Source organism: Homo sapiens, chromosome 2 (genome assembly GCF_000001405.40).
Source record: "Homo sapiens chromosome 2, GRCh38.p14 Primary Assembly".
Classification (NCBI taxonomy): domain Eukaryota; kingdom Metazoa; phylum Chordata; class Mammalia; order Primates; family Hominidae; genus Homo; species Homo sapiens.
In genome coordinates, this window is record NC_000002.12 from 174,793,227 (window position 1) to 174,808,100 (window position 14,874).

Below are 14,874 nucleotides of genomic sequence, written 5' to 3' on the forward strand. Positions count from 1 at the left end.
AGGTTAAGTTATGCAATTTAGAATAAAATTTGAATAAGAAAAGAAAGTATTGAGGACAGTCAGATTTGAGTCAGAAACTGGGAGGTGACTTTGAAGGGAAGTAGGAGCAATCAACTGTATGGAATATAGTTTCCGATTTTTGTTTTCTTGATGCTCTGGCATTTGATGCATTGATGGTAGAGAGCCTGCTCCTCCCAGGGCTAGCTAAGTCCTACAGAGCAAAGAATTCCCCTTTGAGGACACCTTTGACATATAAACCAACCCATCCAGAGCTCACATCCCCAATCATCTCCTTTGTCAAACTCACATACCAGACAACATTCTCCCTGCTCTAAATCACCCCAGGACCAGGTACCCAACAAATGGAGACCACTCCTATAGCCCAGAGCCTGCTGAAATTATTCAAACTAGCCAATCCTAGCTCACTCAGCTACCTACCCTGCCTCATGCATCCTTCCCTGGAGATCCCAATAAAGGTTCTGGGCCATGTTCTGCCTCCTTCTTCTGCCTCCTGAGTGACTGTGGTTCTTGCCATGTAATCCTGCATAGTCTACCGTGCCTCCTGTTTCTGGGGTCTCTATGAACTTCTTCCTTCATGACAGTCATTTCTGTGTCTGCTCTCTTACTATCCCTGAATAAAACAAATCCCAGGAACATTTTAACACACTAACAGGAAATGAAGCATAATTTAGTCGGTACAATGGCGACCCATCAGAATCACCTGGAGTGCCGTCTGCCCGGGCCTTGCCCAAAGAGCATTTGATTTAATTGGCCTGCAGTAGGGACTCAGGTGGTCCTAATGGACAGCCAGGGGCAAGAAACACGTAGCCAGTGGTCCCCAAAGTGTGATCCTGGGACTAGCAGTGTCAGCATCACCTGGGAGCTCGTTAGAAATGCAAATGTTTGGCCCCAGCCCAGACCTCCCAATTCAGAAATTCTGGAGGCAGGGCCTGGCAAGCCGCTTTATCAAGTTCTTCAGGTGATTCTGAAAGATCTAAAGTTTGAAAACCATGGCACTGACCTAAAGCAGAGTAGAGTCAGAGAAGCAGAAGCAGGCCACTAATGGATTGAGGGCCTGGAGCTTCATGGCTACAGTTTCTGCTCTCTCCTAGTGCTGATCAATGGCTTCTTCCGGTTCTAGAGTCTTAGGACAGAAATGCTGCTGATGTAGCTAAACTTAACATTATTATTGTTATTTTTGAGACAGGATCTCTGTGGCCCAGGCTGGAGTGTAGTAGTGTGATCTTGGCTTACTGCAGCTCTGCCCCCCAGGCTCAAGCGATCCTCCCACCTCAGTCTCCTGAGTAGCTGGGATTACAGGTGTGCATCACCATACTTGGCTAATTTTTGTATTTTTTGTAGAGATGGGGTCTCGCCATATTGCCCAGGCTGGTCTTGAGCTCCTGAGCTCAAGAGATTTGCCTGCCTTGGCCTCCCAGAGTGTTGGGAGGCATGAGCCACCACACCTGACCTGAACTTAATCTTTTTTATATGCCCACGTCATCACCTTCTCACAGTTTGGATACCGTTTTTAAAGAACTTGAACAAAATATTCCTGCCTACTATGTATATTCATTGGTAAGAAAAAAAAACTGTCTTAGGAAAATGTTCACTCATATAGAGAGGCTTCCAACATCAGGCTGGATATTTTTTGCATGGACAAGCCTAGGACTGTGCTCCAGTTACACCTATACACACATCAGAGGAAACCAACTGGTCGAAGCTTGAGGTAATGGCAAGCAAAGACTGGTGTGTTTTAAGAACATTCCAAATTTATGGTATTTTACCTCTAGAAGGCCCTTTTTGCTCATTTCCTTTCCTGAGTCATTTTAATCACTAAAACATGACCTCCTCTGCTTTTTGTGTCTTACCACAGTGGCATGGGCAGCTAGGTGGTTATGCTTCAGAATTAGAAAAAACAATCCTAAGATTTCTAGCTTCACATGCTCATGTTTCCTGCTACAATGTAATTGAGTGGATCTGAAAAACTGTAAAACCCCCAAAACTTCCAAGGGTTCACTAGAGCTCCAAAAACTAGGTCAGCCACGTGGCGCTTATACTTAACTCTTGGTGGTGTTTTGTGCTATTGAGTTGAATAAGCAATAGAGGAAAACATTTACATTGTGAAATATGCTATGACTGTATGAAAATATAATCTCTTCAGTAGAGAACAATGAAACTCATAAACCAGGATTTTCCTTGCAATATGTAGTGATGAATTATAATTTTTTAGCTTAGCTCTCTCTTGATTTGGTTTCAATATGTATAAATATCAATTGAGTCGTATCCTTGTATGAGATACAAAACTAGTGAAATATACTTTAAAAATTATTTAAGCATTTGCTGAGAGACCTAATGACTTTAATAAGGCAGAACAGTGATGAAACCAACAAATGTTTGAATTTGTAATGAAAGTATTAATACAACCTTCATTAAAATTGCTAAAGGATTAATTCCCTGATTATATAAAACCAAGAGAAAACAGCAACTTAAGTTTTTTTCCTTCATTACTATTTGGGAAATGTGAAGATGATCACAGCCTGTTTTAGATAAATGGTGAGTGGGATATTTTTACTCAGAACTTCTGAAACCAGATGTGTGGGTTTTTTCCACACCAAATTCTCTAACTCTCCAGACGCCAGCTAGGTGTCCTACAATTCAATTCAGTTCTGACACTCTCTACCTCAAGTTAGTGTCAGATCCTACAAGTTAAAAAACTCAGTTCCACAAAACTGCCCCAATTCAGATGCCAGTTGCAAGTCCCAGGGAACCACCCATACTTGTGCTGAGCTATGAATGAGGGGTTCCTATAACCTCCTCCCCTGGTTTGTTAATTGGCTAGAACAGTTCACAGAACTCAGGAAAATACTTTGCTTATGTTTACCAGTTGATTATGAAAGATACTACAGAACAGCCCAATAGAAGAGACGCACAGGACAAGGTATGGAAAGAGGGGTTGGGGGCTTCTATGCCCTCTGGGTGTGCCCCCTCCTGACACTTCCATGTGTTCACCCACCAGAAAGCTCACCAAATCTAGTTGTTTGTTACAGAGCTTAATCTCTGGGCCTCTCCCTCCCCTTTCTGGTGGTCAATGGAGAGAAAGTTCCAAGCCCCTAATCACTTGGTCTTTCCTATGGCCAGCCCAGAGATAACCTTTGTGAGGCTATCAAAGGGCCCCAGCCTAAGCCACCTCATTAGCATATAGTCTGGTGTACTTACAAAGGATCATTATAAATAACAAAAGACTCTCCTATCACCCTGGAAATTCCAGGGGTTTTAGGAGCTCTAGGCCAGGAGCCAGGACAGAGACCAAATATATATATGCCACAGGGAGATTTTGAGCTGTCAGGTTGAGACCATCCCTTGTTTCAGAATGAGCATCAACTGCATGGGATTGGTTAAAATGAGGTAAGTATGCCAGAATGCAATGGAACTGATAGCATCATCATCTATCCTCATCTGATGCCAGGAAGTTAGGAACTAGTGAGTCCATGGCAGAGGATACTGTAGCTCTTTCATGTGGTGGTGTCCCATTCCAGATGACACTCGCCCAAAGGCACAGGCAGCTAAACATTAGGCTTTTGATTTTTCCAAACAGACTTACACCGGCTCTGTGTGATGTCATTTTATTTGTGTTTTCCTTATCGGTTAAATGAATGTTTAAGGTCAACTTCAAAGTATCAAATGGAATTGTAAGGGTATGACTTGTGAACTCATATTTTTCCCAAAGAAACGCAAAACCATCCACGCTGTCTGGTAGCTTTCTATTGACATCTAGCACTGAGGCATACAGTACTTTAAACTGTGACTAGTCCAAATGGATCCCATGAGTTCCTCAAGAATCAGAACCAATCTTGTTCCAAGTTCTAGCACAGTGCTTGGCACACAGGATCTGTGTACGGAATGAGTAGCAGAGATGCTACAAGGGATGCAGATTTTTTTTTTTTTTTTTAAGATATAATGCAAGTGAGAACTAGATCTCTAAAAATTAGGCTGACAGATCCTTGCTGATGCCAGACTTCTTTGCATTCCCCTCTACCACAATGCATGCTAGCTAAGGGGCAGAACCAACCTGGATGTTCAGTGGGCATGTGATGCATGGTGATGAGATACACGAAGGGCACTACCAGTTCGGCTCAGCTCTAATGGACAAATGTGAGTGTCTTGCAGTTGTTATGGGCAAATCAAGCTATAAAAACACTTTGTGATCTTTTAGTGGACTTGACCATAATCTATAATCAGCTTTGGGGCAGTGCCTGTGAGTTATTTTATTTAAAATGATCAGAACTCAAAACAAAAGATATAAAAGACAAAAAACTAACAAAAAGAAATTAAAAAAAAAAAGAATGATCGGAACCCTGAACCTAATTTATTCAGCAGGCCTCTATTTGAGCTCATCAAGTAACCAGAAACATCTTGATAAATATCCATTCTTCCAATTACAGAAACGTTTTAAATCTCAATTCAGCGAAGGACTACTTCTTCTGGTCAGCTGGTATAACTGGCATTTAAAGACAAAATAATGTAAAAGGGAAGTCTTTGGTTTTGCAATAATTAAATGACATATAGAAAACTGAGAAGATGTAGACACTTAGCATTCAGGGCAGAGTATCTGTAGTGCTGCCAAATCCGTGGGTGATGGTGGAGAGGTTTATTGGTTCCCTCTCTCACTCCTGATTGTGTTAGAAATAGAAACATCTGCCTCATCATAAAAAGTCATGATTTAAGAAATCTCCCACTGGTCATAGAAAGATATGTGTAGAAGATTCTGGTTAATTATTGAGCAAAACCCTCCTTGGGCAACTGGGAATTGTTTCTTCAAGGAAGTGTCACCCAACAGTCCAAGCATGTTCACAGATGAAGTGGCTGTTATTTCTATCTATACATCCTGAGGGTATGAACCACACATCCTTCTGTGTAAAAACATGCCAAGCACATTCTTCAGAGCCAGTAAGCAATAACTTTGTCTGAAGACTTGCTCAGAACTTTCTCTGAACATCTGCTTCCTATTTACTATGACCTTCTGCTCCAAATATACCTCTAATTCTAGTAAGTGCCTGCTCTAAAGTTGAATATCTCTCTTCTCAGGAAAAAATAGTGAATCCATTCTAATAAAGCATACTCCTTTATAACTGAATTTCTCTTTTAAAAAAGTAAAACTCTGTAGAAAACTGACTTCAGCAATGAGCACATAGTAGTCCAATTGGTTTACTTAACCCAGGGACAGATTTCTTTGATCAGATTTCTCAGAAATACGAACTGTGTTTGATGTGTCCAAAGCACTGCCTTGGTGTTTAGTGCCTTTTGGTGGCCTCCATTAAAAAAAAAAACATTCTATGCTATATAAATCTCTGTGCATTATCAATCTATGTACCTGATGTTGCTCAGTGCAGTGGTGTTCTTCACAGGAGACTGGTTGACAGGAGAGCTGAGATGGAATATCTACTGAATAAACCATACTTTTCTCAATATCAAGACTGATGAAAGCATACTATGAATTTCCTACTATAGCCTAGGGGCAAAAATATGAAAACACTCCATATTTTCATTGGTTCCCATTATTTTTGGAATAATCTTCAAAGTTTGAACATGTGTCTTTTATTGTTAAAAATTTGAAAACAGGATGGAACTTTCGTTCTAGAAAGGTGTTCATCTGATAGGCACAGAAACAGACTCTGGAGGGTTGTTGGCTCCAAGCCACACAGGTGGCCAGTGGTAGTACCAGGCCCAGAATCTGGGCTCCTGGCCCCTAGCTGCAGACCCCTTCTCCAGCCACCAGGTTGGCCTCTGGGGCTCATCTCTCAGGCAGCATTGTCAGCTCAATGCATGTTGATGTCATATATTTTTGACAAATCAAATGTTTAGAAGAAGTTACTCTTTTTAGTTAGCCTCTTTCTTCTTCTGAGAGCTCTGGTAGGAACTCCTGCCCAACCTCTCATTAAAAAGTATGTCAAGAAAATATTTTCTAGATTTCTGCCAGAGTAATATAAGAAGAAAAATAAATGGAATTAATGGTTGTTCTAACTGTAAGCAGTTTTAAATGATTATTTTAGAAGCTTATCACTTTTAACAGTAAACAAAAGAGGTCAGAAGAAGTACTCAGTATTTAATAAATGGCCAAACACATTTTCCCGAATATTCTTATGAGAAAAAAGTAAGCTATCAATATTTTTTATTTCTAAAAGCCAATTTAATAAATTAATAAACGCATGCCAGAAAAAATACCAAATTACAACTGAAAACCAATAATAATTTAACAGAAAATGCTGTGTTGTACACTTTTTATTGGTATGGATAACCTTTATTAAAGTAACAAATCTGAAAACACATTTTGCTTTTGCTGGAAAGAAAGTACTATGTTAGAGAAGAACTAAGAGAAACCAGAAATCATTTGTAAAATGTAGGCATGTGATATGGTTTATGGTAATGTAACAGCCAGAGGTGCTGTTTTATCCATTTGTGTGTGCGTGTTTGTACAAGCATCAGAAACCAATGACATAGACCCCAAAAGCAAAGTCACAACAGGCTTACTCTGTGAAACATGCTGGATTACAAGCACAGACTACCCAGGACGCAGAGGCGGTGCAGGCGCAGGTTTGTTGTTTCTTCTGTATGGGGTTTCCTTGCCAGATAGGGGGCTAATCATGCAATAGCTTGAGTTTCTCTGAACGTGATAAACACCCAGGATTACTAGAACCAGAAAGCGTGTGTTCACTGTTTTACAAGACAGCTGAGCGGTGCTACAAAAACAACAGAAAGTTCCTTCACTTTAATCTGGTTATATGCCCAAACCTCTAATCAAGAAATAATGCAGCTACAGGAGCAAATTAAATTACTATAAAACATTCCTTCATCTGTAAAACATTTCTTTTCCCCTCAAATTAAAAATTTAAAATAAAATGTCTTCGTTTTTGATAAGCAGCTCCACCACCAGTCTCTGATACCGTATATCATTCAATGCAGCCATGGCGTCTAGTTCTGGAGATCTCATAAGGGTGGGTCCAAAGACGATTCCAAGGTTCTCTGCATTCATAAGATTCTCCTTTTCGTGGAGGGTCACTCTGAAAAATGCAAGTACAGGAATAAATGACTTTGTGTAAGCCATATGTTCTTCATTGTGCTTGAACACTAAAACAACAAGATTCACAATAAAAGTTTGCGTCCGCTTATCAACTCTTCCACTAGGTTATTTCTCTGTAATTTCAAAGTACTGACTTTCCTTAAAGTAAATTATGTCAAGAGATAATTTAAACTTGTGGTAATCACTGAGGCTCAAGCCTGAGTTAATGTGCTGCACTGTATGGATTCAGTTCTATCTATGGATCCTCCTGCCACAGCCCACCTACAGCCTATAGTTCTAAACCTACATTTGCAAATAGCTGAGAAGGAACTGGGTCACCTTGATTTAATCCACCCACCCTCCCTTCACTCTGGCTGTCTTTGCTATGGAGTAGTTTTGCAAGTAGACAGTTGAGTAAGTGTCTAGGAAGAGAACAGCAGCGACAGTAATAAGCAATGGGTAGGCACCATCGTCAGGGAGGGTATGTGTTTATATGCTTTTTACCACTGCACAGTAACACAGAAAATATGATTTGAGAGTTAGTCCTCTGTTTTAGTGTGGAACACTTAAATACATCCCAACAGGAAGCAATCCTGAGTTTATAAGCGAAGTTGTAAGCACATTAAACAAAGGTTTTAACTCATGGTGCTCTTAAAGAGGAAAAATGTAAACATTCATGAGTGACTAAAATATCATTTTTATATAACTCATGCCTTTGGCCACATACGTATTTTTGTTTCTGATTGGTTTTATACTTTGAAAACCTAAAACCACTAAAACTTGGTCGTGTAATTTGGAAATCTTTGCTTCAACTGATAGAGATCGAGGGTGACCAAGTAGGGAGTAAAGCTGCATGACTATCGCCTGAAAACATCAAACCACAATTAACTGAAATACTTCGTTTTCCATTCCTCCCTTTATCCCTTACTTCTTTACTCCACCACTTTTTACATCAGTTTGCAGTGTTGGCAACAATAATTCAATAATCGAAAATCCTGTCACCAAGTTTGAAGTGCTTTTTTTGGAGCAAGAAGATAGGAAAAGTGAGCTGCCTTGCAAGTTGCAAGTTGCAAGTTGCTTTCTTCTTGCTTTATTATGCAAGTGTCTTTACAGCCACAACTCTATCTTTCCACAAAAATTAGTGCATGTCCTTGGCAGAATATTGGTATTTCTAGCATATCTGAAAACATATACTGGAACTGCAAATCCATTTATAACACAATCAAGTCTGCACTCAGTATTATAGTGTAAAATATTTTTAGCATTCCTTCTCAACTAGTGCAATTTCACAAAAGACAATATAGCTATGCATTTATTTATTCATTCAATAGATTATTTGTCCTTTCTTTCACCCTTCATTTCATTTTGTCCTTAAAATTTGGATGCAATACAAGTGTAAGACTCAAAGTCTATAGCTTGCCTCTTTAGATGTGCCATGAGGTACCGGAGGGTTTCGCAGTGAGCAGGTGGCAGTAGTTTCAGTGCTTCATGAAGGGTTTCCAATTGCTCATCCGGATCCATAATTTCTAAAATAGCAAGTCGAATACCAAGAAGAAAAGAAATAACACAAAACTGATACAAATGGTTCACTGAATTCTATTCTTGTGATAATGCTCTGAAACTGGTAAGAAATGCTTTCTCGTAATTCCTTGTCCACAGCTTTGGAAATTATTTTTAAGGTTCAAGTCCAGATTTCCAAAGGCTCTTAGTTTCAATGTGGCAACACTATTTACTTGGACTTTTGGGGATGGAGGGAACATCCAGTTTTGTCACTTGAGTATCTTGGAGTCTGACAACTTTCGAAATTGGACATGGAATACAGGATGTAACTACAAAAAATTCAGACGTGTCGACACAGATAAAAACTTATACATTCAAATGAAGTGACCTTAGAATAATACTTATAGAATGGTACATTGCTTAAAATATTTTGAAAATCCCTTTTCAGCAATGGTATACTAACCATGTCACTCCATTACCCACTATGACCCCAAGAAAGTCTTATTAATTGATATTCATACTTTTTTCTTTTTAAACCAAAACATGTACCATCCAACATTTACTTGCTTGATTCATTACACTGTTTTAAATTACTTTGTTTTATATAAAAAAATCAAATCTACCTTCAAAATGCACACATTTTCTATGACTCAGACATTCAGAAGAATGCACGGCAGACTTTGAAGGCACTTCCAAATGTTTTGCCTGATGGCGAGAGCCCTGAAATAAATGTGACTCTTCCAAGGGTGTAAATTTTGAAGGGAACCATCTTAATTTGAATGTTTTAGTTCCAAATGAACAAAAACCCAGCACATTCCTTTGAGATCAGACTGCATTCAATTCATTAGTCATTTGTATAACTGAAAACAATTAACATATTTGGAATTCTGCGATCTCAAAAAAGAGCACCACAGTACATTCCTGCTTCTACTCAAAGGTCAAAAGATGGGGTGCTTTTAAAAGTTGGGTTAGGCCAGATGCAGTGGCTCACACCCGTAATCCCAGCACTTTGGGAGGCCGAGGGGGGTGGGTCATGAGGTCAGGAGTTTGAGACCAGCCTGGCCAACATGGTGAAACCCCGTCTCTACTAAAAATACAAAAATTAGCCAGGTGTGGTGGCGGGTGCCTGTAATCCCAGCTACTTGGGAAGCTGAGGCAGGAGAATTACTTGAACCCAGGAGGTGGAGGTTGCAGTGAGCCAGGATTGCATCACTGTGCTCTAAGCCTGGGTGACAGAGCAAGAATCCATCTTGGGGGGGAATTAAAAAAAGGTGGGTTTCAAGGTAATTTCAATGAGACTCCATGCTGCTGAGTCCTAATCAGGGTGGTGGCCTTGAAATGCTAGGAAGACTACATCTGACCAGAATGCACAAGATAAAAAATCCTAGTGTTTCTAACTTATAAAACAAACCAACTCAATAGTAATGAATTGAAGTCAGGTAAAAATTGGCGTGAGATGAATGTAAAAATTTCCTAGCACTGGTAAAGCAGATTTGATAAATTTCAGAAACTGAACAATGACTGAAGCTTTTTAATTCAAACAAATTTTGACCATTTTACAATCTCTACCCCAAATTTCTTCACAGTTCCTGGCTCATTTCTTTGAATGAAGAATGTATTTGCTTTTTGCCATGATAAAAAATGTATGGTCTCTGAACTTTGGGGCCTTTAAAAAGTGCCAATTTATAACAGTAGTGCCAGCTCAGATACTGAAATTTAATCATTGAATTTCTAGAATAAAAGACGAATACTCCACTTACTATAAAAACCACTAGTTAGGGTTTTTGTTCTTTGAGACAGCTCTGTCACCCAGGCTGAAGTGCAGGGGCATGATGATGGCTCACTGCAGCCTCGACTTCCTGGGCTCAGGTGATCCTCCTGCCTCAGCCTTCCAAGTAGCTGGGACTGTGGGTGTGTACCACCATGTCCAGCTAAATGTTAATTTTTTATGGAGACAAGGTCTCACTATGTTGCCCAGGCTGGTCTCAAACTCCTGGGCTCAAGCGATCCTCCTGCCTCAGCTTCTCAAAGTGCTGGGATTACAGGTGTAAACCACTGCACGCAGCTCTAGTTTTTACTACAGGATAAATTAATTTGAAGCTACACAAATCTGGAAATTAAAAAAAGAACCCAGTTTCCTTTTAATTTCCACAGTTAATCTCTGTAGGGAGAACTGTGAGATAGTGTTGTCGGGTGAGCAAAAAACATCTCCTGCACATGGGGAGCTTACTTGCTACTGAGGGTGACTGACAATAAACCATGAATATGATATATTATAGTTACACTCTATTAGAATGAGGCAAGTGCAATGGGAAAAACAGCAGCATAAGCATTGGAAGTGTTGGGGGCGTTGCAATTTTAAGTGGGGTGGTCAGGATAGACCTCAATGGGAATGAGCCATGTGGAGATCTGGAGAAAGACAGTGCTGGTGGAGGAGGAGCCATGCAGAGATCCTGAGGGGAGAGTACGCCTATAATGTTTGAGGAAAAGTGGGGAGCCAATTGTGGCTGCAGTAGAGTGAGTGAAGAGGGGGATATTAGCAGGTGTGGTCAGAAGGGCAACAGGGCACTCAATCATGTCAAGGGATGTAGGCTATTTTAAGGATTTAGTGTTTACTAAGAGAAATGGGAAGGTTATCAACAAGGAAAGGTCATGATGTGACATGTATTTTTCAGTTATCTGTACTCTGGCTGCCTAGTGGAAAACAGACTGTGGAAGGCAAAGAATAAAAGCAGAGAGACCATTCCAGTAATTATTAAAAACATCCAGGTGAAGAATGACAGTAGCTTGGACCAGGGGGTAGCAATGAAGGTAATAAGAATTTGTTGGATTCTGGGTATATTTTGAAGGTTGAGTTCATTGGATTCCTGATGAAGGATGCATGAGAAACAGAAGAATCATGAATGATCCAGGTTTTTGGCTTCAGCAGCAGCGAGGACGAGGCCTCTATTAACTGAGATTGGAAAGACTGTGGGTGGAGGAGGTTTGGTGGAGAAAAGTTCCATTTGAGATGCCTGTCAGGCATTCAAATGAACATGCTGACTGTGGATTAATCTGGTGTTCAGGTAGAGGACATTTACATCTCCAGGCTGGAGATATACATTTGGAAACAAATGACAAAATGCACTGAATATACTGAGATCAAATTGGCAGACATTCTTCTCCAGAACTCATTTCTCCTTTTCTTCCACTTACAAAAGTATTACCCATTACCATTTTTTATAGAACACAACTCTTTAGCTATAAGAAGCATAATTTAAGAGAGAAATAGACAAAATGGAATGTATTCAGAGATGAATGACCATCATCAGTTGTCAAATATACAAAATACACATGGAATAAGGGTGATGTCAAGAACACTGCCAATGGGAGAGAGTTATGAAATAAAAACAGGCAGATTTCTATTGTACACAGAAGGGCTTCATAACTGTTACATCTGTCCACCAGTGGACTGGCTGCCTCTGGAAGCAGTGAGTGAGCCTTGCAGCAACTAAATATTTCAAAAAGAATGTTTTATAGAAGACAGTCTAGCTGCATGACCCCTTAGAATATGTGCAAACTCTAACATCCTACCGTTCTCAATATAAAATTATAAGTTGACTTATTCAACAAATATTTATTATACCTATTACGTAAGTAAGGGACTATCACAGGTACTGTGGGAAAAGGAACATGAGCAAGAACTCCTCCCTTTAAAAGGGATTCCGGTGAAGTAGGAAGACAAAACGTAATTACAACCTTCCAGCATGAAGGAAGGAGGCAGTAAAGATGTCCAAGTAGAGGTGATGGGAATCAGAGGAGAAAGATGGTCTGCAGCTGAGAGGTCCAGGGAAGAGCAGATGGCATTAGAGGAGGGCCTGGAAGGATCTGGAAAATGTGAACATTGTCCGAGAAGGAAATAAAGACTCTAAGCCCATAAAGATCTAATTAAAAGCTCTTCTACAGTATGTCTAGTTAATTTTACACAGAGAAACTTGAATACAAGAAGATTAAAACTTAGCAAAAGGGGCAGCTCAGTGGCAGAGCTGAGGAAATACTAACAAGTTCTCCTTCCCAGGCTTCTCTTCCAGAGATTTCAAGTTGCTTGGGACCAAGAACCCTGGGCTTTGAGTTGATCTCAAGGTTACACACTGAGACATGTAGCTTTTTGAAGCTGCTCTGGGAACAGAGTTCTCAGAATCCTTGGCCAGAGGAAGATTTCTCCCCTCATTACCACAGGGAGCTCAACTTTGGCAGTGCTGTTTCCATCGTGACCAGGAAGCATCCATAATGTTGGGTTACTGGAGGCTCTGTGACAAGCACCTGTCCTTTTATTCTAGGGCAGCAATGTCTTAACTGCAGGGGGAGGGAGTAAGGAAGGTGGGGGTGAGTGAACACAGACTTCAGGTGGGTTCATCAGGGAGTTTCCAGGGGCTTTGGAAGAACTTCCAGCTGTAGCATGGGATGACCTGGCCTTCTCCACCCTTGCTTTCCTTTTTCATTTCTTGCAGTCACCCCCTTCCAGCTTTTAAGCTACAGGTTCCTCCAAGAAAGCTGCAAAAGCAGAGCTCAAACAGCTTTTGTAGAAGAAAGGTTTAATGTAAATTCTGATATTTTGTTGGCAAAGGATGCTAATAAATGCCAGAGACATTTTTAGGAGCTGAGAGAGAAAAAAAATTTTGGAGAATATATCCGCATTAGGAAGGATCATTTAACCCTGTCCCTCGTTTGAAAGGGGTTCTTCCTTCTTCCCTTGTGTAAGTCTCATTCCCTGTTCTATCAAGTGAGCCAGGCAGTGTGACAGAGTGGGTAAAGCAAGGGCTCTGACCTTAGAGGTGTGTGTGAATGCCATTGCCGCCGCCCCTAGTGAGCAATGTGATCTTACACAATTTACTGATACTCCATCACATCTCCTTTCTAAAATTACATCATGGATGTAAAGTGCTCGGCAGGATTCATGGCACCTCGTCTATGCTCTATAAATGTTAATTTCTCTCATCTTCCTTGTCTGCCTTTTAAGAGAATGGCCGTATCTGCACATCTAAAGAATGAAACAGACTCTACTGCCAGAAGAGAGTGTACAAGGACACAATATTCCACAAACAAGATATCGCTATTAAACATGTACAACAAACGTTTATATTATATATTGGTATTATGCCAGGGTTTTTGGTGTCATTCATAAATCAGACATCCAAATAACTGAAATTATAAGGAGAAATTTCTACCTTGATTTCCGAAAGTTTCTTTCTTATGATGTGGTTTCCAGAGTTCTCTGAGGGGTGAGATAAGGGGGCTTGCTAATTTTGGACAGGAAGGCTGTTTCAGAAACTCCATAACGATGACAAATGATTTGGAAGGATAATAAAAAGGAGAGATTTTCTTCAGCAGCTAAGGTGGGTGTGGGGAAGGAAGGAGAGGTCATTTGGAATTGTGGGGACAAAGGCCTCGAAGTCCAAGAGGAGGCTTGGCTTTTACTTCTTCCTAGATATGGCGGTGTGTGGAGTTCAGAACCTGGGTTTGCATCACTGCTTTGTCCTCTGCTGATTGTGTGCCCCAGAGTTAGGCATAGAGCCAAGCTTCAGTTTTACTTCCAGAGTGGAAGCTTACCCACTTTCAGTGGGATCGGAGTCCTCGGGATCAGAGCATACTGTGGACTAGGCAGCTTTTCACGGGCTATCTGTGTGTGTGTGTGTGTGTGTGTGTGTGTGTGTGTGTGTGTGTGTGTGTGTGTGTGTGTGTGTGTGTTGCTTTCTAGATGAGTGGCAATCAGACTTAACTGGAGAGGAAATGTCTGCCCCATGAGACAAGGACATGTGAGATCCCTCATACAAATTTTCATGATCAGCACTGCGTCCATAAGAGACCTAGAATTTTTCATGCTTTCTAACCTAATGCTTTGAAAGAAATCAGTGTAATTCTCACAGCTGTTCTCTACATGGGAGCTTGAGCTGACCCACAAGAAATCAGACCTCCATGGAACTAACCACAAAAATCCTCTACAAAAGCCCTGAGAGGGAAACTAAAATTTAGAACAAAGAAAGATTGTACTTCATGAAATTCCCAAGTCAAAAAGCAAATTAGTGTTACTAAGGAAGTGATGTTATCATCTAAAGATGAAGACAACATATGGTTTTAAAGAGAGAAAAGCAAAATGACAGAAATAGCCTATCTTTTCCAAAAAAACCAGTAATGCTAATACTTAAAACCAATAAGAATTCCCTTCTTTAAAAAATGAAGTGTGAATTACAAGTATGATTTTTACAGCATAAATGAACTTTGACAAATAAACCTTTGCTTTTTCTCATTTTCATTTCAACTAGAATTTACAAAAA

At 40.3% G+C, this 14,874-nt stretch overlaps 1 protein-coding gene across 6 annotated transcripts in view, besides 2 other annotated features; it reads right to left on the reverse strand.

The window, feature by feature from the left end:
* Nucleotides 2,368–3,230: an enhancer, noted in NCBI's record as "OCT4-NANOG-H3K27ac hESC enhancer chr2:175660322-175661184 (GRCh37/hg19 assembly coordinates)". NCBI's record gives its function as "activates a minimal SCP1, AML or CMV promoter by ChIP-STARR-seq in naive H9 embryonic stem cells {active_cell/tissue: H9 hESC(naive)}" and the evidence as "EXISTENCE:reporter gene assay evidence [ECO:0000049][PMID:30033119]".
* Nucleotides 3,231–4,092: an enhancer, noted in NCBI's record as "OCT4-NANOG-H3K27ac hESC enhancer chr2:175661185-175662046 (GRCh37/hg19 assembly coordinates)". NCBI's record gives its function as "activates a minimal SCP1, AML or CMV promoter by ChIP-STARR-seq in naive H9 embryonic stem cells {active_cell/tissue: H9 hESC(naive)}" and the evidence as "EXISTENCE:reporter gene assay evidence [ECO:0000049][PMID:30033119]".
* Nucleotides 5,583–14,874, reverse strand: part of CHN1 (chimerin 1) — a 206,573-nt gene continuing 197,281 nt past the window's right edge. For 5 of the 6 annotated variants that reach the window (NR_038133.2, NM_001025201.4, NM_001371513.1 and 2 more), the window contains 2 exons: nt 8,481–8,586; nt 6,087–7,061 (listed from right to left, as the gene is read on the reverse strand). Coding sequence is in view for 5 of the 6 variants with exons in the window: in NM_001025201.4 (NP_001020372.2) it covers nt 6,890–7,061; nt 8,481–8,586 (278 nt within the window). In the remaining variant the exon portion in view is untranslated. Of the gene's footprint in view, nt 7,062–8,480; nt 8,587–14,874 lie in introns of all 6 variants that reach the window. The other variant, NM_001822.7, reaches the window with a different exon arrangement.